The 25,543-nt window shown below is 36.6% G+C and overlaps 1 protein-coding gene and 1 long non-coding RNA gene across 3 annotated transcripts in view, besides 2 other annotated features; one reads left to right on the plus strand and one right to left on the minus strand.

Moving 5' to 3' along the window:
• The window catches only part of LOC102724452 (uncharacterized), a 49,630-nt gene extending 35,723 nt beyond the window's left edge, over window positions 1-13,907 (minus strand). Inside the window, exon 1 of the long non-coding RNA NR_135683.1 lies at window positions 13,818-13,907. This is a non-coding gene — a long non-coding RNA (uncharacterized LOC102724452). The remainder of the gene's footprint in view (window positions 1-13,817) is intronic.
• AGBL1 (AGBL carboxypeptidase 1) overlaps window positions 1-25,543 on the plus strand; it is a 951,857-nt gene that overhangs the window by 894,900 nt on the left and 31,414 nt on the right. The window contains exon 24 of one of the 2 annotated variants that reach the window (NM_152336.4): window positions 13,468-13,569. The exons of the other annotated variant lie outside the window; for it this stretch is intronic. Within the exon in view, the coding sequence (NP_689549.3) occupies window positions 13,468-13,569 (102 nt within the window). The remainder of the gene's footprint in view (window positions 1-13,467; window positions 13,570-25,543) is intronic. 2 annotated transcript variants of the gene reach the window in all.
• Window positions 12,054-13,000: an enhancer, noted in NCBI's record as "NANOG-H3K27ac-H3K4me1 hESC enhancer chr15:87529804-87530750 (GRCh37/hg19 assembly coordinates)". NCBI's record gives its function as "activates a minimal SCP1, AML or CMV promoter by ChIP-STARR-seq in primed H9 embryonic stem cells {active_cell/tissue: H9 hESC(primed)}" and the evidence as "EXISTENCE:reporter gene assay evidence [ECO:0000049][PMID:30033119]".
• Window positions 13,414-14,055: an enhancer, noted in NCBI's record as "OCT4-NANOG hESC enhancer chr15:87531164-87531805 (GRCh37/hg19 assembly coordinates)". NCBI's record gives its function as "activates a minimal SCP1, AML or CMV promoter by ChIP-STARR-seq in naive and primed H9 embryonic stem cells {active_cell/tissue: H9 hESC(naive and primed)}" and the evidence as "EXISTENCE:reporter gene assay evidence [ECO:0000049][PMID:30033119]".

Here is a 25,543-nt window from a genome sequence, read left to right on the forward strand (position 1 = left end):
AATATATATTAAATATATAAAAATTATATAATTATATAATATAAATTATATATATTAAATATATAAAAATTATATATAATTATATAATATAAATTATATATATTTATATATTTAACTTTTCTGCAAAAAAAGATGAGAAGAAAGATCAAAAGGAATAATAGCAAGTAAAAAAAACAGTGATCAGAACAGAGAGGACATGAGCAATACTAGCTAATTATGACTATCAGTTTTTGAATTTCCACTCTGAGCCAGATCAAAAACAGAATCTCAAGCAAGTTAGTTGGGGATATGGTGGAATTTACTGTATGTTGGCTAGAGGTAACAATGTAGTAAATTGACAGGAGAGAAACCACACTTCTGGGTGATTATTTTGAAGTTCCTGAGTGGAGATATAAAGCAGAATAATGTTGCAGGGGGATTATTGGAGCTTTTTTCTTGGTATTAGGGACTTTAGGCAAGGGTCTAAGAGGTCTCTAAAATAAGTGGTTTTGGGGAACTCCTGGTATTCATTTCTCATTAGCTCTGAGGTTCTGGAGACAGGACCAAGTAATCCTCCCCTCAACTTTCTGGAGCTTTTTTGAGAGGAGCAAAGAGATAAAATGTCCCACAGTGGTTTCCCATTGCTCTAAGGATACTGTATTAGTCTGTTCTCAAGCTGCTAATAATGACATACCGGAGACTAGGTAATTAATAAAGGACTGAGGTTTAATTGACTCACTGTTCCACATGGCTGGGGAGGTGTCACAACCATGGCAGAAGGTGAAGGAGGAGCAAAATCACTTCTTACGTGGTGGCAGGCAAGAGAGCATGTGCAGGGAAATTCCCCTTTATACAAAAATCAGATCTCATGAGACTTATTCACCATCACCAGAAGAGCACGAGAAAGAGAAAGACCCATCCCCATGATTCAATTACCTCCCACAGGGCCCCTCCCACGACACCTGGGAATTATGGGAGCTGCAATTCAAGATGGGAATTGGGTAGGGACACAGTCAAGCCATATCAAAGACAAAGTATTTCCCTTATTTTACAACTAAAGACCCTGTCTCCAAAAATTCCCATTGCTCTCCATGCTCCAACCTCATCAGCAAATATTTGCAATGTTTCTAAAGCACAATGTTTCAGGCTCCCTCCTGACACAGTGGACTTTTGCAAATGATGTTCCTTCTGTCTGAGAACTTCTTTCCTTATTTTTGCTTAACCATCCCACACTCAACCTGTCTTTCAGCTTAAATGTCAATTTTGCAGGAAAGCATCCTCTGGGTCTTCAGACTAAATATGATCGCAGTTATAAATTCTCAAGAACACCTGGTCAGTTCTTTTCCTAGATAGCCAAAATGTTTGAAATCATGGAATTTCTGCATGATTGTTTGGCCTGGCTATCCCATTAGGCTGCAAGCCCCATGACAGCAGAGCAGTTTAACTTCATACCTAATAAACTGTCTGCAGCTGCTCAGTAATGATAGCTGAGTATGTGAATGAATAACTGAGTAAATAAGCAAAAAAATCATATACTTTAAAATTATTATGTTGGTTACACATATTCATTGTAGAAAGTTTTAAAATTATAAAAGTATGAATAGGATAAAAAATTTTAGATCTATCACATAGGCTAAATCATTTATTATATTTTTATTTATGATTTTACTTATTTATGTATTAATAAATTATATTATTTAAGAAATTATAATTTATTCTAGTAATATATATGCTTATATATCTGTAGTATATATGTATATATATGTGAATATGTATCCATGTATAATTTTGGATGGTAGGGCATATATTGTTCATAAATTTTTTATTACAACTTAGAAATATATCATAAAAAAATTTTCAAGTCATTAGATGTTCTTTACCCATATAATTTCTAATTGCTAAATAGCATTGCATTTGTTTGTTTCTTTCTCAAGTACCCCAGTTTATTTAACTAAAGCTTATTGTTGGCATTTGGATGATTTTAAATATTTTATTATAAACACGCTAGAATAAACAACTGTTTTGCTAACTTTTGCATGCCTTTTTCTTAGGATATATTTCTAAATGTGGCATTACTGAGTCTAATATTTTGATTCATACTGCCAAATTGTCTTTAAAAGGAAAGTAATTCTAAAGCTCTCTTACACTAGTGAGATGTAATACCCAGCTCAACAATATTATTCCTATACTCCTTTTAAACTCTTCAAAGTTGATAGACAAAATTTGTAGATTTTTTTTTAAATTCGTATCTTTTTTATTACAAAAAGAGTGGAATTTATACATAAACACAGATAGATATGCTCATATATTTATTCGTATATACGCATATTCACCATTTCAAAAACAACTTTGTTTATGTCGTGTATGGATCTGTTGCTGTCCTCACTCAAGTTGTTTGTCTTCTTAGTGATTTATAAATGTCTTCATATATATTTCAAAGATACTTATACTACATTTGCAGCATGTTATATTTTCTGAATTTGTTGATGTCTTTTAATTTTGACTCACTGTTTTGCTGTAAAGTGACACATTTTAATATAGTGAAAGTTACATCTTTTATTGTTCTCTTCAGGTATTTTATGCTCTGTGTGTGTGTGTTTTACATCTTATATAAAGATTTCATATTTCTGGTGCTATAAGTTATGAGGTAACATTTTCCATTTTTTTCTCCAAATAAATTTTCATTTGTTCCATCAAATATCACTTATATAAAAATTCATTTTTTCATGTGCCACTCATAACACATAGCAAATCTTATATATATTTGACTTTGGCATTGGATTTTGTATGCAGTTTTAGCGGTCTACTAAGCTAATAGAAAACTACTTTATTAATTTTATAATAAATTGTAATGTGTGGTAAGTTCCTTATTGTTCCTTTTTCTTTATTAAAGTTTTTTTTTTTACTATTGTGATACATTTATTTTTATAGATAAAAAGAACTCATCAAATATCATTGGATAGTCATTGCACATTAAAATTAGAGATTAATTTATGCCATTATTCAAATCTTTTTATATATTGAAAAAAAGCTGTTTATTTTCCTTAACTGCAATATAATATTTGTCAAGTTTATTCCTAAGCATTACATTTCTGTTATTGCAATTATAGATGAGATTTATTTCTTGTCATTACATTTTTCTGAGTTGTTATTATAATGATAGGAAAATTATTGGGTTTTATGAATTTAGTATGTAATTAATTACTTAAGTCTACTAGATTTCATTTTCTTGCAAATGATTATGAATTTGCATCCTACTTTTGTATGATTATTTCTGATGTTATTTTCTCTTCTTATTGCTTACTTAAAAACTTTTAGATCGATATTGACTACTGAATAAGGAAATATGTCTTAATTTTCAAATTTAAGGGGAATGCCTCTTTAGCTTGTTTATTAAGTTGATTGTGGAGCCCCAGAAGAATCATTCTACTCCTGAATTACTAAGGATATTTAAAATAAGAAATGTTAAATTTTATCAAAATTATCTTCTAAGCTATCATGTTTCTAAGACTATCATGTAGTCTTTTATAAATAATTTTTTAGATAAAAGCAGTATTATTTTAAACTAATGCTTACTTTTCTAATTCAGTTAAAACTGTCTATAAGTAATTCCATCAGCCAAATTCACAGACTACTACCTAACCACTATTGTCTGTTAACCTTACAAGTAAGTCAACACACACTTAGGTTGAAATTTTCATATCTGAAATGCCATATACAGACTTGCAACAAGACTAAAAAAAGAATACACTAAGGTTCAGAGAATGAAAGTAGATCTTCTTCCTAGGTTAGGGGAATAGGGTCAATGGAATTGACCAGATAGCACAAAGCGATTGTAAGTTTCAGTTAGGGCACATATATTAGTGATGGTCATAAATATTCAAAAGTTCTAAAAGTAGGAGGCAGACCAAATTTAGCAACGAAGATTTAGACAAATAGCTTCTGGGAAATGTCTATGAGCTGCAGAGCCTGACTTACAAAGCTGGGGGTTTAAGTACTCGTGCAGCCCTACAGCAAGGTAAAACAAGTAGTGCTCCTTAACAGAAAATGAATGACTCAGAAAAGTTACTGATGTAGGACCAAAATATAAACCAGCTCAGAAACCTAGCCCCACCAAAGGATCCCAGGTGAAGGAGTGAACATGTGGTTACTGAAGCCCTCAGAATCAGATCACGTTAGCACCTCTGGGGTCAGGCTGTGAGCTGGGCAGGAGGGAAGAACTTAGAGATAAGCTCTAAGTCACTGCAGTTCATGTAAAAGAACAAATAATATTAAGGCCTCTCAGACTGGCAAGATATGGAGCCTCTTACTATGTCTTGTCATCAGCCTATTTTCTCCTTGGAAATAAATCTGAACTTACATAGTCCAGTGGATCCAGTCAGGGGGAACCCATAAGAGGTGGAGAATTGAGGCAGAAAACTGACAGGAATCATTTAATGAGTTCTTGCTTTTCAAATTCACACTCAAACTGAAGGAGATATTAACATGTCTGTATTGAGCATTCTGGAACTGGTGAAGGCACAGGCTTCAGAAAACCTGTATCCTATTCACTGGCATGACACAGTGTGAGGAGGTAAATCCTACTTGTAATGCTTGGTGATGCTTTCATCTAAACTGTCATTAAAACTGAACTATTTCTACACATTTTGGTCACTTGTCCTTAAATTATTAAAATGCTAAAAATGTGTCTATCTGAGCAATTAAAATATAAATCATGAAGAATAAGCCGCTCTTTAAGAAAAATCCATTATGACAATTTGGGAAATGCAGTGCAATATTGAAAATGCAAACAAAAATTCGAGTGCACCTTATTTCAAATAAAATAACTATCCACAATTATAATGCACATTTGTTTCCCCCAATGTCCTAAAATCACAGTTATCTTACTATATCTAATACATGATACAATTTAAGAGTAGATTATTTGAAAACACACAGGTAAGTGAGCCAATAATTAAAAGCAATGTAGAGGCACTTTCTTTTTTTCTTTCTTTTTTTTGGCGGGGGGGAGATGGTGTCTCCCTCTGTTGCCCAGGCTGGAGTGCAGTGGCGCGATCTCGGCTCACTGCAAGCTCCGCCTCCCGGGTTCACGCCATTCTCCTGCCTCAGCCTCCGGAGTAGCTGCAACTACAGGTGCCCGCCACCACGCCCGGCTAATTTTTTGTTTGTTTGTTTTTTGTATTTTTAGTAGAGATAGGGTTTCACCGTGTTAGCCAGGATGGTCTCGATCTCCTGACCTCGTGATCTGCCCGCCTTGGCCTTCCGAAGTGCTGGGATTACAGGCGTGAGCCACTGCGCCCGGCCAGAGGCACTTTCTTGAAGAACTTGAAACCATATTAGAGTGAAGGACCCCTCTTGGCCCCATCTCATACACATCTCACTGTTTCCCTTTCCCATCCCATAACAACAGAGAGAAATCTACCAAGTGATTTTTACTGGGATCCACTAAGAGACTTTTTAACAGGTGAGAGCAATTTCTCACTTTCTTTTCCCTTCCTCTCCCCTAATGCCCTTATCTCCAAATATAGCCTGAGAAATTGTTGGGATTGAAATCTAGGAAGGAGCTTCTTAAAAAGAAAAAACCTTTGTCATCTTATTTGATTTTAACCTCAATCCTGAATTCTTTGCCCTCCTAGAGCAGCAACTCAACTCAGTAATCAGATCCTAGTTTTAAATCAGAAGTGTAGTTGAAGCCATTGATTTTATCCAATATTCTCTGAATAATTGGTTGGTACAAGAATTTCACCACCTGTTTATAGACGGTGGCCAGAAGTTAGAGCTGCCTGCTGATTGCTTTTTTGTGTGTTATTGTGATTTTAAACTATATTTAATGTTCTGTTTGAATGGGAGATTTTGCCACCTGCGGGAGCATTCCAAAAAATAGCATTGGCTGCTGTGTATATCAATGTCAGAGTCAGATTCATACTGCAAAGGGGCTGCAAAATTCATCAGTGGAAAATGGCTCAGCGAATTCTGTGAAAGCATCTTCCCTGGGAAGCCTAATCCTCTGTCAATGATACTTAAAAAGTAACTTCCATTCCTCCTCTAAGAAAATCGTAAACTTCTCTCCTAGGTTGTGGGCTGCAGCAGACATATTAGAGAGATTTTTTGAGAAAATATGCCTCCTTCATTTGTCTCAAAAATGGACAAAAACGTAGATTCCACTAGTCACACACAATACAATATTGACATCATACTAAATAGAGTCTTGCATCATGTTTTTTCATTAAATATTGAGTTCTCATTCGTTTCTCTTGCTATTATTTTAAAAACTCAAATTATATATTATTTTAAAACCACTTATGATTATATGAACATAATTAATTTCATGATCATTGAAGCTTTATCTACTGTCTACTAAATATAAATAGTGCTTCAGAAACATCCTTTTTTTTTTTTTTTTTTTGAGACAGAGTCTTGCTCTGTCACCCAGCCTGGAGTGCAGTGGTGTGATCTCAGCTCACGACTGTCTCCACCTCCCAGGTTCAAGCAATTCTCCTGTCTCAGACTCCTGAGTAGCTGCGACTACAGGCGCACGCTGCCACCCCTGGCTAACTTTTGTATTTTCAGTAGAGACAGGGTTTCACCATATTGGTCAGACCCGTCTCAAACTCCTGACCTCAGGTGATCCACCCACCTCGGCCTCCCAAAGTGCTGGGATTGCAAAAACATTCTTATAAGTATACTTTTGTTCACATCTCTTAGTATCTCCTCAGTGAATATTCTACAATATTAATTATTTAACCAGAATGTATGAATATTTTAAATTTATTAGTATATTTTAATAATGTGCTTTCAGAAAGAATTTATCAATTTTCATTCTCATTAGTTGCATCGTACAGTCTCAGTCTTACTGCAGTCTGTGCAACACCATGGTCATTGTTTTTCAAACTTTGCCTGTTTAATGGACAGAAAAGCTAATGTTTGTTTAATTTGAATTTCATTAATTACTTATAAGAAATGTCTTTATATGTTTCTCAGCTCTTCGTCACTATTATATGAGTATTTTGTTCATGATCTTTGTCCATGTATCTCCTTGGTTTCTCTCCTTGACTTGTAAGTGCTCTTTACATAGTTCTAGTATAAACCTTTGACATAGATTTTGATTGTTTTTCGTCACAGAAATGCAGAATACTTTTGAAACTTTTAATACAGTTGCACCTTTTTTTGAGTTTGAAATGATGGTCCTTGCTTGATTTAAATTGTTTTTTCTTTGAATGCCTATGACCAAAATATCTCCCCGTTAAGCCAGCTTCTAGGCCCAGAAAAATGAAAGTTGCCTTGGGACAAAACAGGAAAACAGGATCCATCACCATTCTAAACCATCAGCTTTGTAAAGACATCTGAGATGATTATGGCACAAGAGGCACAGAGAGTAAGTGGATCTTAGTCCAGCAGAATGATTCCTCCTGGGACCAGAAAATTCTTCTCATTCTTAATTTTCTTTATTTGTTTTGCTTCCTATAATTACTTTAAAAATTATAATGTAAAATATTTTCAACAGACCAAATATGAGTAAGGATATCATGAACACTCATGTTATGAATATTCTGCTTAAGAAATGATCATCAAAACGATGAAGGCCCCAGGTACCTCATGCTGATCACATTCTTCTTAATGTCCTCCCAAACTAGAAAAAGTTACTGCCCTCAGAAAGAGTTTCTTATCCCTAAGAACTTCTTTATATTTAATCATATAGTTATATCATCCCAAATAATAGGCAGAATGGTTTTAAAATTGTCAAATATGCACATTTCCAATTTCATTAAGCAGAGAACATATATTTTCACCCATAATTATGTTTTGAAACTCACTCATGTTGATACCTATTTTACTCTTTTATAGTATACATTGTATAATGTTGATGGACATTTAGCTTGTGGTACATTCTTATTTTCTTTTATCTTGTTTTTTTTTTGCTATTATAAACATAGCTGATAGGAATATTTATATACAGTTGACTTGTGAACAATATGAATGTGATCTCATTTACTTATACATGGATTCTTTTCAATAAAGATGAAACAGTGTGTCTGCCTTTTCTTCTACCTCCTCCACCTCGCCTGCCTCTGTCATCCCTAAGACAGCAAGACCAACCCCTCCTCTTCTTCCTCCTGAGCCTACTCAATGTGAAGAAAATGAAAATGAAGACCTTTATGATGATTCACTTCCACTTAGTAAACAGTAAACATATTTTCTCTTTCTGGTGATTTTTTTAATAACATTTTCCTTTCTCTAGCTTACTTTATTGTAAGAATACAGTATATAATACGAAATAAGTGTTAACTGTTTTTGCTATTGGTAAGGCTTCTGGTCAAAGTAGGCTATGAGTAGTTAAGTTTCTGAGGAGTCAAAAGTTATACAAGGATTTTTAACCAAATGGGAAAAGCGGCACCCCTCATCTTCATGCTGTTCAAGGATCAGCTGTATATTCTTGAGAACCTGTGAGTTTGTCTAGATCAGAATACGCCATTTTTTAGTTGACTGGAATTTGCTTTTCAGGGTGGTTCTACAAATTTAAATTTCCATTTTTCATTAGAATTTACTATTATCACACCTTTTTTTGTTTTGTTTTTGTTTTGTTTTTGTTGTGATAATTGGTGTCTTATTATGGTTCTAATTAGTATTTCCATGATTACTATTGAGTTGACCTTCTTTTTGAATGTATATTGATCTTCACATTTCCTCTTGTTCAAATTGCTTACTAATATATCTTGCCTAATATTTACTGTGGTGTTTATCTTTTCTTATTGATTTGCAGGATCTTCTATTATAATCAGTATATTAATCTTTGTCACTTATATGCATGGCTACTATCATCTCCCAGACCATGGCTAATCTATTTTTTATTATGAAATATTTCATTCGCACAAAGAATATATATGATGAGTATATAAGGCTTGAAATATAATAAAACAAAAATTCTTGTGCCAAACACCTACCTTATGACCTGGTGATGAAATATCAGCAATACCCCTGAAGGTCTTTTGATGTTCTTTTGTCTTTCCTGACTATGTTAACCCCTCTTTTGAATTTTTAAAAACTCAGCTTTATTCAGATGTAATTATATGCAATAAATGCATACATTTTAAGTATATGGTTTGATATCTTTTGACAAGTATATATACCCATAATCAAGATAGAGAACACAGACTTGTTACCTCCAAAAGGTTCCCATGCGTTCCTTTGCAAGTAGCCCCTTTCCTAATCTCCAGCCTCAAACAACCAGTATCAGCTGTCAATATAGGTTAGTCTTCAGTGTTCTAGAATTTTATATAAATACAATCGTACATTATACAAAAGTACTTGGTGTCTCTGGCTTGTTTTGTGCAATATAGTGCTTTGAGATTTATCCATGTTGTTGTGTACATAGGTAGTTCTCTTTGAGTTCTGAGTAGTATTCCACTGTATGCAACGGTTTGCATACCCACTCTTCTGTTGCTGGACAATTAAGGTGTTTCTTATTAATTTGGATCCTAAAATATTTATATACAAGTATAGGCATATGCTTTATGTGGGCATATCATTTTATTTCTCTTGGATAAGTACCCAGGGGAGAAATTTTTGGGTTGTATGGTAAGTCCTATGTTTAACTTTAAAACATTCCCAACGTGTTAGTACTCATGTTACATTCCCACCAGAAATGTAGGGAGGTTTCAGGTAATCCATATTCATTAGGTAGGCTTAGTTCAAAGTTTTGTTTTAATTTTAGCTACTATTATTTAAATGGACATTTCTTGAGGACTAATGATGTTGAATATCTTTTTATGTATTTATTGATCATTCGTAGATCTTCTTGGAAATGTGTCTATTGACATATTTTGTCAATTTTTTCAAAGTAGATTGTTTTCCATTTTTTTCTCTCTTTTTTTTTTTTTTTCCTGGAGACAGAGTTTCACTCTGTCGCCCGGGCTGGAGTGCAGTGGCGTGATCTCGGCTCACTGCAACCTCCGCCCCGCTGGGTTCGAGCAATTCTCCTGCCTCAGCCTCTCAAGTAGCTGCGGTTGCAGGCACCTGCCACCGTATCTGGCTAATTTTTGTATTTTTAGTAGAGACAGGGTTTCACCATCTTGGCCAGGCTCGTCTTGAACACCTGACCTTGTGATCCACCCGCCTCAGCCTCCCAAAGTGCTGGGGTTACAGGCGTGAGCCACCACGCCCGGCCTGTTTTCTTTTTATGATTGAGTTAAGTGTCCTTCATATAGTTGGGAGACAAGACCTCTCTCATATACATATAGGTGCAATATTTTTCCCAGTTAGTGGCTTGCTTTTTTATTTTAACGGTGTCATTAAAAAAATATCCATTTACAATTCACAGTGCAATGAGTTTTGACAGACACATACACTTGTTAAACCACCACTACAATATATACAAAATACTTCCATCCCTGCCTCCACTCCTGGCTGGTCACAGACAACCGATGATCTGCCTTCTGTCAAAATAGGTTAGTTTGCATTTTCTAGGTTTTTCGATTTATAAATTGAAACATTCAGTTTTTATTTTTGACTTCTTTTACTCAGCATAATGATTCATTCATGGAGATCCATCTATGTGGTTGCATGTTTTAGTAGTATCCTAATTTTATTGCAAAATAGTAGTACATTGTGTAGATATGCTATATTGTGTTTTTCCATTCTCTTAATGATGGGAATTTGGATTATATCTGGTTTTTGCTTATTGTGAATAAAACCTCTATGGACATTCATGTACAATGCTTTGTGTAGGCATCTATTTTCATTGCTCTTGGGTAAGTATCTGGTAATGAAATGTCTGGTTCATATGGTAGGTTGTGTTTAACTTAATCAGGAACTTCCTAATGATTTCCTCATAGTTGTATCATTTTACACCCCTACCAGCAATGTATGAGAATTTCAGTTGCTTTATATCTCATCAGCATTTGGCATCGTCAGCCTTTTTAATTTTAGTTTAGTAATGTGTATGCAGTGACATCGTATTATGGTTTTAATTTGCTTTCCCCTGATGACTAACGCTGCTAAGCAGCTTTTCATATGCTTATTTGCCATCCTTAAAACTTCTTTGGTGATGTGTCAATTCAAGATTTTACCCATGTTATATTGGGTTGTTTGCGTTCTCATTTAGGATTTGTAAAAATTTTTTGTTCCAATTTTTTTTTTATCAGATTTGTGTTGTGTCAATATTTTCTTCCACTCTGTGGCTTACCTTCTCATTGTCCCAGTGGTGGTATTCAAAGGAAAAATGGTTTTAATTTTAACGAAGTCCAACGTATCAACATTTTCTTTTATGGTTTATATTGTTGCTGTTGTATCTAAACTGTATTTCCATATTTATTTCTAAGAGTTTTATAGTTTTAGCTTTTACATTTAGTCCCATGTTCCATTTCGAGTTCGCTTTTGTATGCAATGTGAATTGTCAAAGTTTATTTTTTTATATGGATAGCAATCTTTTTTTTTTTTTTTTTTTGAGACAGAGTTTCCCTCTTTCGCCTAGGCTGGAGTGAAGTGGCAGGATCCTGGCTCACTGCAACTTCTGTCCCCCGGTTTCAAGCCATTCTCCTGTCTCAGACTCCCAAGTAGCTGGGATTATAGGTGCCTGCCACCATGCCCGGCTAATTTTTGTATTTTTAGTAGAGACGGGGTTTCGCCACGTTGGCCAGGCTGGTCTCAAACTCCTGGCCTCAGGTGATCCACCCGCCTCGGCCTCCCAAAGTGCTAGGATTACAGGCGTGAGCCACGGCGCCCGGCCAGGATATCAATTGTTAGAGTACTATCTGTAAAGAATTAAATTTAAAAAAGTTTATTTCTTCTATTGTCTAGGTAAATTTTATAAAAATCAATTGACATGTGGGTATTTATTTCTGGACTCCTAGCTTGTTACAACTATATACATATATATTTACACACACATATACACACACACTACCGTACTTTCTTAATTACTTTATAATACGTTTTGAAATCAGATAGTCTTTCAACTTATTTCTTTTTCAAACTTGTAGTCATTGTATAGCCTTTTCATATAATATACATCTTATAATCAGCTTATCCATTTCTACAAAAATAATAGCAAAAAGGAGGAGGAGGAGGAGGAAAAAGGGGAGGAAGATGTAGAGGAGTCATATATCTGGTGTGCTTTAGACTGGGGTTGTGTCGAATCTATAGATCAGTTTGAGAGAACCTTACTAATATTGAATGATCAATAGATGAACATTGTACATCTCTTCATTTATTTGTGTTTATTTTATTAATGCTGGTAATTTGCAGTGTCCAAATCTTGTACCTGCTTTGTTAAATTTATATTTAAGTGTTTTCTGTTTCATTGATTTCACTCGCGTCCATGTGAAGAGACCACCAAACAGGCTTTGTGTGAGCAAGGCTGTTTATTTCACCTGGGTTCAGGCGGGCTGAGTCTGAAAAGAGAGTCAGCCAAAGGAGATATGGGTGGGGTCGTTTTATAGGATTTAGGTAGGTAAAGGAAAATTACAGTCAAAGGGGGGAGTTGTTCTCAGGCGGGCAGGAGTGGGGGTCACAAGGTGCTCAGTTGGGGAGCTTTTTGAGCCAGGATGAGCCAGGAGAAGGAATTTCACAAGGTAATGTCATCAGTTAAGGCAAGGACCGGCCATTTTCACTTCTTTTGTGGTGGAATGTCATCAGTGAAGGCAGGAACAGACCATTTAAATATCCCTTCTTTTGTGATTCTTCAGTTACTTCAGGCCATCTGGATGTATAGGTGCAGGTCACAGGGGATATGATGGCTTAGCTTGGGCTCAGAGGCCTGACAGTTGACATCATTGTCAGTGGTGTTTTTGCATTACATTTACAATTGCTATTGCTAGTACATAAAAAGACAGTTGATTTTTGTACATTGTTTTGCATACATAAGTGTATCTAGTAATTCTAAAAACTTCTAAAAACCTTTTAGGTAGATGTTTTAGAATTTTCTGTATTCATGATTTATCAACTACAAATAAGACAGTTTATTTCCAAATTGTATGCCTTTTATTTCTTTGCTTGACTTACCGTACAGGCCAAGTCCTCCTTTTATATTATTAAACAAAAGTGGTGAAATTTGGCTGTTTTTAATTAGTTTTATCAGGTTGAGAAATTTTCCCTTCCATTTCTTTTACTATTTTGTTAATAGTTTCTATCATTAATAGGTATTGGAATTTATCAAAAGGTTTCTCCGCATCTAATGATATAATCGTGTTTCCTTTCCTTTATTCATAACTACGGTACCATACATTCCTGACAATGATAGTCACTCTTAATTTTTTATCAGATTCTTAGACCACCATATATTTTACCATACATTATGTATATTTTAATAAGAAATAGATTATAAATATTTGTATGTTTCTGACCTTATGTTGCTGGTATCTTACTATATATATCCTATTAAAGTTTGTTTTTCCCACTCAATAATATGTTTTTAAAATCCATCTATAATAATATGTGACACTATGGTTTATTTTCACCAATCTGTACCACTCATTTATCTGAACATTACAGATTAAAATCATCCAATTTCCTGCCAAAGCATATTTGGTTTGCTTACCACTTTTTTGCCATTACAAACTTTTTCAAGATGAACCTTCTTCTGCATGTCTCCCCGTGAGTATGTCAGTTTCCTGATTGTACATTGCTTGGGGCGGGGATTGCTGGATGAAATACCCTGCATGTGACTACATTGGGACTGGACAAAGAGAAAGTAAATGGGTGGGCCAACAACAAAAAAACAACATACCCTTCAGCTTTGCAAGACAATGCCAACTTCTTTTCCAAAGTGGTTGCAACGATTTACATTCACACAAATGAATACGATTACTGGTTGTTCTGTATGCATAGAACTCAGTACTTACTATCTGCCAGTAGATGTTGATCTCAATTGGTGGATCCCTTTGTGGTTTTGTTAGTAAATATACACCAAGGTTTCATTGGTAAATGTCTTGCTTGCTGTTGATTCTTGTTTCTTTTCTTTAAAATACCTATTCATATCATTTTGAGGTACACTGCAATGATATTACATTTTATAGATTAATTTGAGAAGTATATTTTTATAATTGTGTGGAGACCTATTAAAAAAACAATTTAATTTTACCTTTCTTAATGCTATTACATAAGGATTTATCACTTTCTCTTTGTATTTCTGTTGTCAGATTTATCTAAAAGTTATTCAGTTCTTAATATTTTGGCAATGCAAATAGTATGTTCGAATTATACTTTGTAACTGTATATTGCTAGTGTGTAAGAACTCACTTTATTTCAAATTTTGGTCTTATGTTTAGAAACAAAGTTATACATTTTGATGATTAATTTTAGTAATTTGATTATGGATTCCCATGCTTCTTTTACATGAATATTAATATCACCCCAGAATTGACAGGGTTTTCTGTCCCATTTATGACAAGTATTTATTCATTTTATTTTTCTTACTTGAATGGCTAGGACTTTGAATAAAATATTGAGTGAAAATGATGATTGCCAATATACTTATTCATCTCTGATTTTTTTCCCCCTGCTTTTTTTTTTTTTTTTTTTTTAAGAGTCAGAGTCTTGCTCTATTGCCCAGGCTGGAGTGCAATGGTGTGATCATAGCTAACTGCAGCTTTGATCCTCCTGCTTCAAATGATCCTCCTGTTTCAGCCTCTCAAGTAGCTGGGACTACAGGTGTTTGCCACCAAGTCTGGCTGATTTTTTATTTCTTGTAGAGATAGGGTCTCACTATGTTGCCTGGGCTGGTCTCCAGCTTTGGACCTCAAGTTATCATCTTACCTTGGCTTCCCAAAGTGCTGGGATTACAGGCATGAGCCACCACACCCAGCCCTCATTTGTGATTTTTAAATCAATGCTTCTAAGCTTTTACTGTAAAGTCTGATGGATTTTTGGTAGATTATCTTTATTAGGTTAGTAGAGTTTTCTTCTAGTCTATGTATGATAAGGATTTTATTATTATTATTAAATAATTGCTAAATTTTTTCAACTGCTTTTTTCCCCTTCTCTTGAAGAGATTATAAGGGTTTCCCCCTTTTAATCTGCTAAGATGGGAAATGATTAAAATATTTTCTAAAATGAGGCCAATATTAAATTTGTTGATTAATTGCCCACTTAGTGCTGGGTGTTCTGTTAGCATCTGAGAAGTATATAGCAATGATTAAAGGAAGAATGGTGATAAAGATTTTATTATTTTTTTAAAACTAAGCAAATAAATAATATGACATATGACAATGTTTTGAATAAAAATGGAACAAGATAGAGATTGGTAGGTACTATTTTAAAGAAGATGTTTAAGAATTTTCTATCTGATCAAAATGACATTTAGGCAGGGATCAGAAGGAAGTGAGAAAATGAGCTATATGGACACATGCAGGAAGCACTTTCCAGGCAATGGAATTGGCAAGCGCAAAGGCCCTGTGGCAGAAAGAAGTTGGTCAGGATGGCGAAGGGGTGGCAAGTAACAGTGTGAGTGGGGTTCTATAAAGTCAAAGACACAGCAGCATATCTGACCTGACAGGTTCTAAATATCAGATGCTTCATTCCAGGGTCTTGGGGGCCATGGCCAGAACTTTGGAGTTTTATTCTGAAGCAGATAAAACTCTGGAGAGTGTGACTTATTTTTTAATAGGATCCTCTGGCTTATTTGTGGAAGATAGAAAGCGTATAAGAAAGCAAAATCACAAGCAAACTAATGGTTAGAGGGCTCTTGTGTAACTCCAGATGAGAGAGGATAGGGGCTTGGTCAAATAAGAAAGGTTTGGGGCCGGACGCCATAGCTCACATCTATAATCCCAGCACTTTGGGAGGCTGAGGCAGTTGGATCACCTGAGGTCAGTAGTTCAAGACCAGCCTGACCAACAAGGTGAAACCCTGTCTGTACTAAAAATACAAAAATTAGCCACGCGTGTGGCAGGTGCTTGTAGTCCCAGCTACCTGGGAGGCTGAGACAGGAGAATTGCTTGAACCCAGGGGGCAGAGTTTGCAGTGAGCCAAGATTGTGCCACTGCACTCCAGCCTGGGCAACAGAGCAAGACTCCATCTCAGAAAAAAAAAAGAGAAAGGTTTGGGTTCTGGACACATGGGGAATATCCATACTGACAGCAAATACTTTTATAGCACTTACTATCTACCAGGCACTCTTCTAAGAATTTCATAAATATGTACTCATTTCACAGCTTCAACAGGTAGATACTATTATGACCACCATTTTATATGGAGAAGCTGAGGTACAGAGAGGTAAAATACCTGCACATGTTTAAAGAGTCTCAGGGAGTTAGCTTGGAGGCTGGGGAACATCAAACAAGGTCTACCTCCGAAGGTGGTTCAAGGCCACCAGGAGCAAGGACAGGGAGGGAGAGTCCTTGGCATATGGAAACTCAGAAGGGGGAGGTTTATAGGCTGTCTGGGGCCTCACTTTAGAATGGCATGAATGCTTTATCTGGCTATGATTCTAGGGTATGTTTCTTAGGATAGAAATCTCCACTCTGGCTGTGGATACAAGAGGATTCTGTTATTGAGAATAGTGAAGGAGGGGTAGGATTACATAATTTATTCATTTGTTGCTGTTAGCATTACATTTTATAAGAGTACCTAGGCTCTCTGATCCTGAGACCTGCAATGTAGTTTTTTATAATAGACAAAAAAGAGAAAGAAGTAGAGTGTCTAGGATTCTCGCTGTCTTCTCCCATGATCAGTCCTTAATACTGGATCTGAATTTTCTCTGGCAAATGATACAAAAGTCTTTTTCTTTTTATTTTTTGTTCATTTGTTTGTTTGTTGAAATGAAGCTCTGTGCATTCTTAGTGTGATGGCACAGAACACCAACTTATTTTTTTCTTGCATAAAACTATCATATGTCTCTAAAATTCCCTCAGCATCTGAACTGCTTACACGTTTGCCCATTTCCATCGTTTCCCCAAAAGTGAAGTTCTCCAGGCCCCTTATGTACTTTTTGTTCATTTCAGATTTATATTTATTTATTTATTTATTTATTTATTTTTGGTTTGCAAAATGCTTAGGAAACCAAAGTATGAGAGATCAAGTCATTACAAACCAAAGCAATGCAGGACAAAATCCATAAGGATGATCTAGGCAATAAGATAATTTCAGAGGAAGGGAGAATGACTCTTGACTGAGGGACCATGGAGGGCTCTGAGGAGGAACTAGGATTTGAGCCTGGATGTGAATATTGTCTGTTTTACACAGGTAGAGAGGGACAGAGATGCCTGCCTGTGAGTACTTATGTCAATTCTCTCTGACTTTAGCCCGTAGCACTGCGTATGGTTTCCTCACACATTCTGGTCAATAGAAATTCCCTCAGTAATCACCAAGGACACCCAAAATCTCAATCTCAGCTTTACTTCTTCCAAGGACTTGGAATCAAGCATTTCCTGAAACAATTGTATTAGTTGGGGATAGACTAAGGCTGTCAATTTTGTCTTTCTCTGTATCTTCCCTATACCAGGTACATAGTAGATACTGTTGGTCTGTTTTTGTGCTGCTGTAAAGGAATACCTGAGGCTGGGTAGTTTATAAGGAAAAGAGGTTTAATTGGCTCCTAATTCTACAGGCTGTACAGGAAGCATGGTGCTGGCATCTGCTTGGCTTCTGGTGAGAGGCCTCAAGGAGCTTCTACTCATGGCAGAAGGGGAAGTGGGGGAAGGCATGTCACATGGCAAGAGTGAACAAGGGGATGTAGCACGTGCCACACTCTTTTAAACAACCAGATCTCATGTGCTCTCAGATTGAGAACTCACTCATTACTGCCAGGAGGACACCAAGCCATTCATGAGGAATCTGCCCCCATGACAAAAACGCCTCCCACCCGGCCTCGGCTCCAACAATGGGGATTACATTTCAACATGAGGTTTGGAGGGAAACATCGGAACTATGTAAGATACTTAGCAAATATTTAGTTAATGCAAAAATACATTCCCATTTAACTTGAAATCTTTAGAATTGCACTTTTCATCTCTAGTAAGCCACATACTTTGATCTATTGCACTGAACACAGTACTAGATATATTACTAAATTTATTTCTCAGTGACCAGCTATTTGCTGGAACCAGAATCCCTTCCTAATTGCAGTCTTATTGGCTAGGTATTGGCACTGCACTTAGCGGAAGTGTCACCTCCCTCATCAGGGTGCACCGCCATAAATGGACAGATGGCCATGGGTTCAGGGCTGCTGTTTCCCTGGGTCTGAGTGTTTCTTGCCAACCAGGATTGCAAGGAAGTCTGGATTTTTTTTTTTTTTTGTAATGATTTTCACCTCCATGCCTAATGCTAAGCCTGCTCAATATCAACAATGCCTAAACGGCTAAATATTACACAATGGCTATCTGGTGCATACTAAAAGATAAGTTCAGTTCCTAGCTTGGCTTTTCAAAGCCATTGTTATCTAGTCATAGTTTCCTTACGGGTGACTGTTTTAAATGGCAGGAATGACTTGAGCTATGCAAAGAGACATGAGCATCCCTAAAATATCTCCAGTGTGGTGAGTGTGTGGAAGAGAAATTTGAATTAAGCAGAGGTCCTCAATCTAACTGGAATAAACACTTCCCATTTATGACCAATATTTGTCATTTTTTTATTATCCTAAAATAAAAAGTAAAGTGATATAATATTTGACATAAATAGTTTCAGAGTATCAACATTGTGCTCTAACTGTAATATAAAAGGAAAGTATAATAAACTGCTACAAATTAAATTTGTGACTGATAGACACAGTTCACTTAATATGTACTGTCCTAAGCAGCTGGATCCTTATTTTTCTCCTTGTAACCCCAGTTTATTCCCAAGGCATTTTGTACATCAACTCTTGTTTTCTTCTTTGCCCTTTATTCAAAACTTCTATTGAATACCAACTATATATTGGACACTGTGATAGGCAATAATATAAGAATTACTATCTCCCACATGGCTGATATGGAAACCCACAAGTTAACCCAGTTTTCCTAGGGTGTATTATGAATAGGCAGCTGAACAAAGTTTCAAAAGCAAATATACCTGTTACTTCTGCTGTCACAAACATGAGAGCAGTTATGGGTGGGGTAGTCACTGGCAGGGAGTCTGAGGGAGGTTTCTGAGGGGTGGGGTTGGTGTTCTTCTCACGTGGGTGGTTATATGAGTATGCTGCCTTTGTTGAAGTTCAGTGAGTTTCACACTTATGATTTGTGCTATGTGAACTTTTCTTTATGTATGTTGTTCTTCAATAAAAGCTCACTCCAAAGGCAGGGAGAGAAGCAAATCTATCTAAATCCAACAGTTTCCTTTGCCTGAAGCCAGATTTCAATGAATCTCCACTTCAAATGTCAGATCCCCTTCTCAGTATGCTTTTTGTCATTTTATTAGCGCTGGCCTGCTTTGCAAGGATAGCTCTTTAGACACTTCTTTACTGAGAGCTCTTGGCAGAAACCGGGACTCCTCTCGAAGGGTAGGGGTAAGAGGAATTAGAGATATTGATCCAAACCTGAGTTCTACAGGAGATCCTTTCCCATCCATCCTGCCAAACCCCAAAGTGACGTTTTCATTCGACGTCACAACGCTTCATTCAGTGTGACACAGGTTCTGTGTCACATTCATTCTGTGACGCAGGTTCTGAAGAAGAACTCAACTTCAGTCCTATGGAGACCACTGAAAGAGGAAGCTCCCCGCAGCAAAGAAAGTAACCAGGAACTGAGTTTTGATGGGAAATTTGTCTTTCAAATTCAAAGCAGTAGATTGGAATGATATGGATAGCCCAGCCTTGGAATTGAGATGGCCCTCAGAAATCAGAGCACTGATTTTCACTTGAACAACTTTGAAAAGCCTAAACAACAAGGGAATATCTCTCTCTCTCTATATATATATATCCTGGCCTGTGATCTCTCTACGTCCCAGGATGGGGTCGGATGGGCACAGCCGGGCACAGACTGTCCAGAGTGTTAGACGCCAACTGGGTAGCTATTCAATTATGAATAGTTAGAAAAGAGAGAGAGAGAAAAGAGAAAATAACTAAAAGACTCTCTACCATACCACTCTCCCTCAAGCCCTAGAAAGAGGCAATTCTGAAGTGGTTGGTCGTCTTGGAAAATAGGTTAATGATTTTACAGATTTCCCAGACAATGAAAAAATGATACATTTATTTCTAGGCAAGTAGATCAGTTTGCTTCTTTATCATAAAAGAGCTTGAAGAATTCAGTGAGGTTCAGAGGGAAAAAAATGCTTAAAGAAAAGTTGCTTTCAAAGTTGTATTTAAAAATCACATATACCCTTCTATATTTTATAAGCCATTAAAAGGCTTTCCAAGGGCAAATTTAAACATTCCAATTAGTCATCTTACAAGCTGACTTTAGAACATAAAGTATATGTAAGATTTAATTTCATTTTATTTCTCAACCTTATAATGGTCGAAAGAAACAGATACTGTGGGGTGAAGTAAAATCTTTGACCCATACAGTAAAATATGAGGCTGTAATGAACTATTTCTTTAAACCTGGTATTTACCAAGCATAGAGCTATGTTGGTGCTGAGCTGACTTTATGTTTTTTTGGCCAGGCACTATGATGGAGACCGTGTTACATTATTTCCTTTAATCCATTCTCTAGTCCTATGTGGTAGATAGTAAATTGTGCTTTTAAAATAAGGGTACTGGGCTGGGCACAGTGGCTCACACCTGTAATCCCAGAATTTTGGGAGGTCAAGGTGGGAAGATCGCTTGAGCCCAGGAGTTTGAGCCAGCCTGGACAACCTAGAGAGACTCCATCTCTACAAAAAATTTAAAAATTAGCCGAACTTGATGGTGCGTGCTTGTAATCCCAACTATCAGGAGGCTGAGGTGGAAGGATCACCTGAGCCCGGGAGGTCAAGGCTGTAGTGAGCCTGGATGGTGCCACTGTACTCCAGGGTGAGTGACAGAGCGAGAACCTGTCTCAAAAATAAATAAGTAAATAAACAAACATAGGGGCACTAAGGTACATAGAAGTTAACCAACCTGTCCAAGTTACAGAGCCCACAGCTCTCAATCAAATAGATACAATTCTATGCCAGTGAAACTTCTGGGGCGAAAGTCTTTTAGGAGACATAGAAATGTGTCAAAATTCAAAAAGCCCTGAAGATTATTTCCAGAAGGAAGGCACAGAGGAGAAAAAAGAAAATATTTGAAAATACAGTGGTAGAAAATTCGCCTGACCTGAGGGGCAGCTTTTTGCCACCAATGTCTCTGATACATTAATTATTCTCTGCTACATTAAGATTTTAGTTTTTAATTTTAACAATTTTTCCTCCTGAATTTGAATTTTCTGTGTTTGTTTGGTTTGATGCTTTTTCTCACAAGGGTGAATTGCCTCAAATGTTTGGGAATTTTTAGTCATCTTTTCATATTTGTAAATAAGAATCTGCATTGATCAGTCTTTGCAGCAGGAGTGTATTTTCTCCAGCCTCCGGGTTCTAATTTTATGACACCACTGCCTATCATTCTGAAATTATTCGAAACACTAATGGAAAAAATCACTTTTTAGAGATACTCTTCTTCACTTGGATGAGTTTGCAATTTTCTCAGGTTCACTGTATTTTATCATTTTTTACCCTGTTCCCATCAGCTTTGCATTTTTTACAAACCCCATAACCATCATGTGGGCTGATGACACTCCTCCCAGCCTCCTAGCCCTGCTATGGATATTTTATTCATTTACTCATTTGTTCATATACCCAACTTTTTACTGAAGTCTATACATACAGAAAGGTGAACATATTGTGAGGCTATAACTTGATTAATTTTTGAAGAGTATGCTTGTGTAACTATCTCCCAGATCAAGCAGCAGATTCTTCCCAGGAATTCCAGAAACCCATGTCCTGCACCTTTCCAGATACTAAGCCCCCCTCCCAAGGAAGTCAACTATCCTGACCTCTAGCACCATATTAAACTTGCCTGTTTTGCACTTTATGTAAGCAGGATTCCACAGTATATACACTTTGTGCACTGCTTCTTTAATCTGTGTTTGGAGATTCACCCCTGTTCTTGCATGTAGCCATGCTTTATTTGTTCTCATGAGGTGGGAGGATAGCCTGAGCCTGAGAGGTCAAAGCTGTAGTGAGCCAGGAAGGTGCCACTGTACTCCAGCCTGGGCAACAGAGCAAGACCTTGTCTCAAAGCATATACCTAGCATATACCTAAGAGTAGAATTGCTGGCTTTGATTGATTCTATTATTACATATTTCTGTCATTTCAGTAGGCTTTGGAATGAACAAAATATAAACACATTAGATCTGTTTGCCATCTTTTACCTGAAAGCCTAAAGCATGGTTTTGACTGATAAGAATCATTTACAATTCAATAGCAACGCTATTGCTCATACTTTAAAAATTTTTATTTAAACCAAAATGAGAAAACTTTGGAGTTCATCACCATTAAAAACAATGACAAAACTTGTGGATTTTGTTTTGCTCCCTTTTAATACTCCAATATATATTTTGATTTAAAAATTTCTTAAGAGACCACCACAGAAAATATCCATTATAAAACTTATTTCTAGAATCATAACCATCTTTATAAAGCTGCAATTGAAAACAAAAAATAAGAAGAAAGAAAAAAAAGAGACATGAATAGCCTTTTTTTCTTTCCTGTTGTTTTGATCTGTATTTGTCCAAGTATGCATCTATGAATAAACCTAGTCCCTCATCCACTAACCTTCTTTTGAACTTAAATGATTTGTATGTGGTCTAATCATATTTCCTGGTCCCATGGCACTCTAGAGTCTAACTGTGCATGCCGGTCTCTTATTTCCATACATTGTATCTCAGAGATAACCAAATGCATGGCCAACTTCCCTAATTACAGTCACCAGGTCCTGGCGGCCTCCTGCAGTGCCCTCTCTTCCCTGCATCCTTTCACTTTTGTGTTTTCATTTTTTCCATCTCTCTCCCTGAAGTATACTCTCCTTCAAATTTCCCCTGGCCCTAAGGAGACTGCTTCAACATTTGTTTACATGTCAAAAATAATTGAAGACTAAATTAATTCTCAGCTTCAGTTTATCAAGCCCCTTTTCAATTGTGGCTTTTTCCCCCTTCAGACTTTGGAATTTAGCAACTAGGATAGCCTTTGAAAACAGAAAAAAGCACAATAGATATTGATGGATCACTTGATAGACTGTATCCTCTAGGCCTAGAGTCTATGATTTTATGATTGATTGATGTGCTAGGTTTCTTTTTGTTTTTTCCTCATGGGTTCCCAACATCTGATTATTAAATTACACAGAGAGAGCCATTAAGCATGTTTGTAAAGCCCACATTCTTAATATCTCTGCTCCTTTTTTTTAAAAGAGACTTAATGGAAAACCTAATATAAACACCTGAACTGTGCATTCTTTCATGAGAGGAAGACATATTTCATAACTCCTTATATACTAAAAACACAATATATTGGCCAAACATGTGGAAGACACACACACACACACACACACACACACACACACACACACACACACTTTGCCTATTTTTGTATTTTATATATTTACTTTCTTATACTTTACATGTTCTGTGTAAATGAACTAGATATGTAACACATTGAGCTATGTATATATAGTAGATTGAATGTCTGTGATGTCTTAGGAACACATAGGATTGGGGATTGTGACAGGCAGCTTCTGAGATGACCTCCTAAGAATTTCCACCTCCTGATATATTTGCTTTGTGTAATTCCCTCCCGTTGAGTATGATCTAGTCTAGTGACTTGCTGTTATGTAATAAAATATAGCAAAAGTGATAGGATACCACTTCAGTGACTGGATACAAAAGACTGTAACATTTGTATTTCAAGTAGATTCTCTCAATTGACTCTATCCTTTCATGGCTTTAGTAAGGCAAGTTGCCATCTTGAGAGACTCAAGGGACAAGAAATTGAGGGCAGCTGCTGGCCAGCAGCCATCTAGAAATTGAGGACTTCAATCCAACCAGCCCTTGAAGAACTGAATTTTGCCAGCAGACACATGAATTGGGAGTGGATACTTTCCCAGCTGAGACTTACATGAGGCTGCAGCCCTGGCTGATACCTCAATTGTAGCCTCTTAAAGATTCTGATATAGAGACCCCAGATAAGTCATGCCTAGACTTAGAGAAATTGAAAATAATAATCACACCTTATTTTCTCCAATAAGTTTGTTAATTTGTTATATGGCAATAAAGGCCACATTTGTGGAATGCATGCTCAGTACTCAACAAGGGAATGGGCAGCTGATATACAGAATCTCATTTGGTTGTAACAATCATTCTGCAAAGTAAGGCTTTGGTTGAGATATAAGCATGACTGCAAATTGCACAGATGCAGAAAAAGACACTTCTGACAAGTTAGTTAGCTCAACCTGCCCAAGGTGACATGGAGCCAAGATTTTACTTTATTTTTTCTTTTATATATATATATATTTTTTATTATACTTTAAGTTCTAGGGTACATGTGCACAACATGCAGGTTTGTTACATATGTATACATGTGCCATGTTGGTGTGCTGCACTCATTAACTCATCATTTACATTAGGTGTATCTACTAATGCTATCCCTTCCCCCACCCCATAGCAGGCCCTGGTGTGTGATGTTCCCCTTCCTGTGTCCAAGTGTGCTCACTGTTCAATTCCCACCTATGAGTGAGAACATGCAGTGTTTGTTTTTTCGTCCTTCGATAGTTTGCTGAGAACGATGGTTTCAAGCTTCATCCACGTCCCTACAAAAGACATGAACTCATCATTTTTTTAATATAAAATATAAAATTTTTATATATATATTTTTTATTATACTTTTAAGTTTTAGGGTACATGTGCACATTGTGCAGGTTAGTTACATGTGTGTACATGTGCCATGCTGGTGCGCTGCACCCACTAACTCGTCATCTAGCATTAGGTATATCTCCCGATGCTATCCCTCCCCCCTGCCACCACCCCACAACAGTCCCCAGAGTGTGATATTCCCCTTCCTGTGTCCATGTGATCTCACTGTTCAGTTCCCACCTATGAGTGAGAATATGCGGTGTTTGGTTTTTTGTTCTTGTGATACTTTAGTTTACTGAGAATGATGATTTCCAATTTCATCCATGTCCCTACAAAGGACATGAACTCATCATTTTTTATGGCTGCATAGTATTCCATGGTGTATATGTGCCACATTTTCTTAATCCAGTCTATCGTTGTTGGACATTTGGGTTGGTTCCAAGTCTTTGCTATTGTGAATAATGCCACAATAAACACACGGGTGCATGTGTCTTTACAGCAGCATGATTTATAGTCATTTGGGTATATACCCAGTAATGGGATGGCTGGGTCAAATGGTATTTCCAGTTCTAGATCCCTGAGGAATCGCCACACTGACTTCCACAATGGTTGAACTAGTTTACAGTCCCACCAACAGTGTAAAAGTGTTCCTATTTCTCCACATCCTCTCCAGCACCTGTTGTTTCCTGACTTTTTAATGATTGCCATTCTAACTGGTGTGAGATGATATCTCATTGTGGTTTTGATTTGCATTTCTCTGATGGCCAGTGATGATGAGCATTTTTTCATGTGTTTTTTGGCTGCATAAATGTCTTCTTTGGAGAAGTGTCTGTTCATGTCCTTCGCCCACTTT

The sequence above is a fragment of the Homo sapiens genome, chromosome 15 (assembly GCF_000001405.40).
Source record: "Homo sapiens chromosome 15, GRCh38.p14 Primary Assembly".
Taxonomy (NCBI): domain Eukaryota; kingdom Metazoa; phylum Chordata; class Mammalia; order Primates; family Hominidae; genus Homo; species Homo sapiens.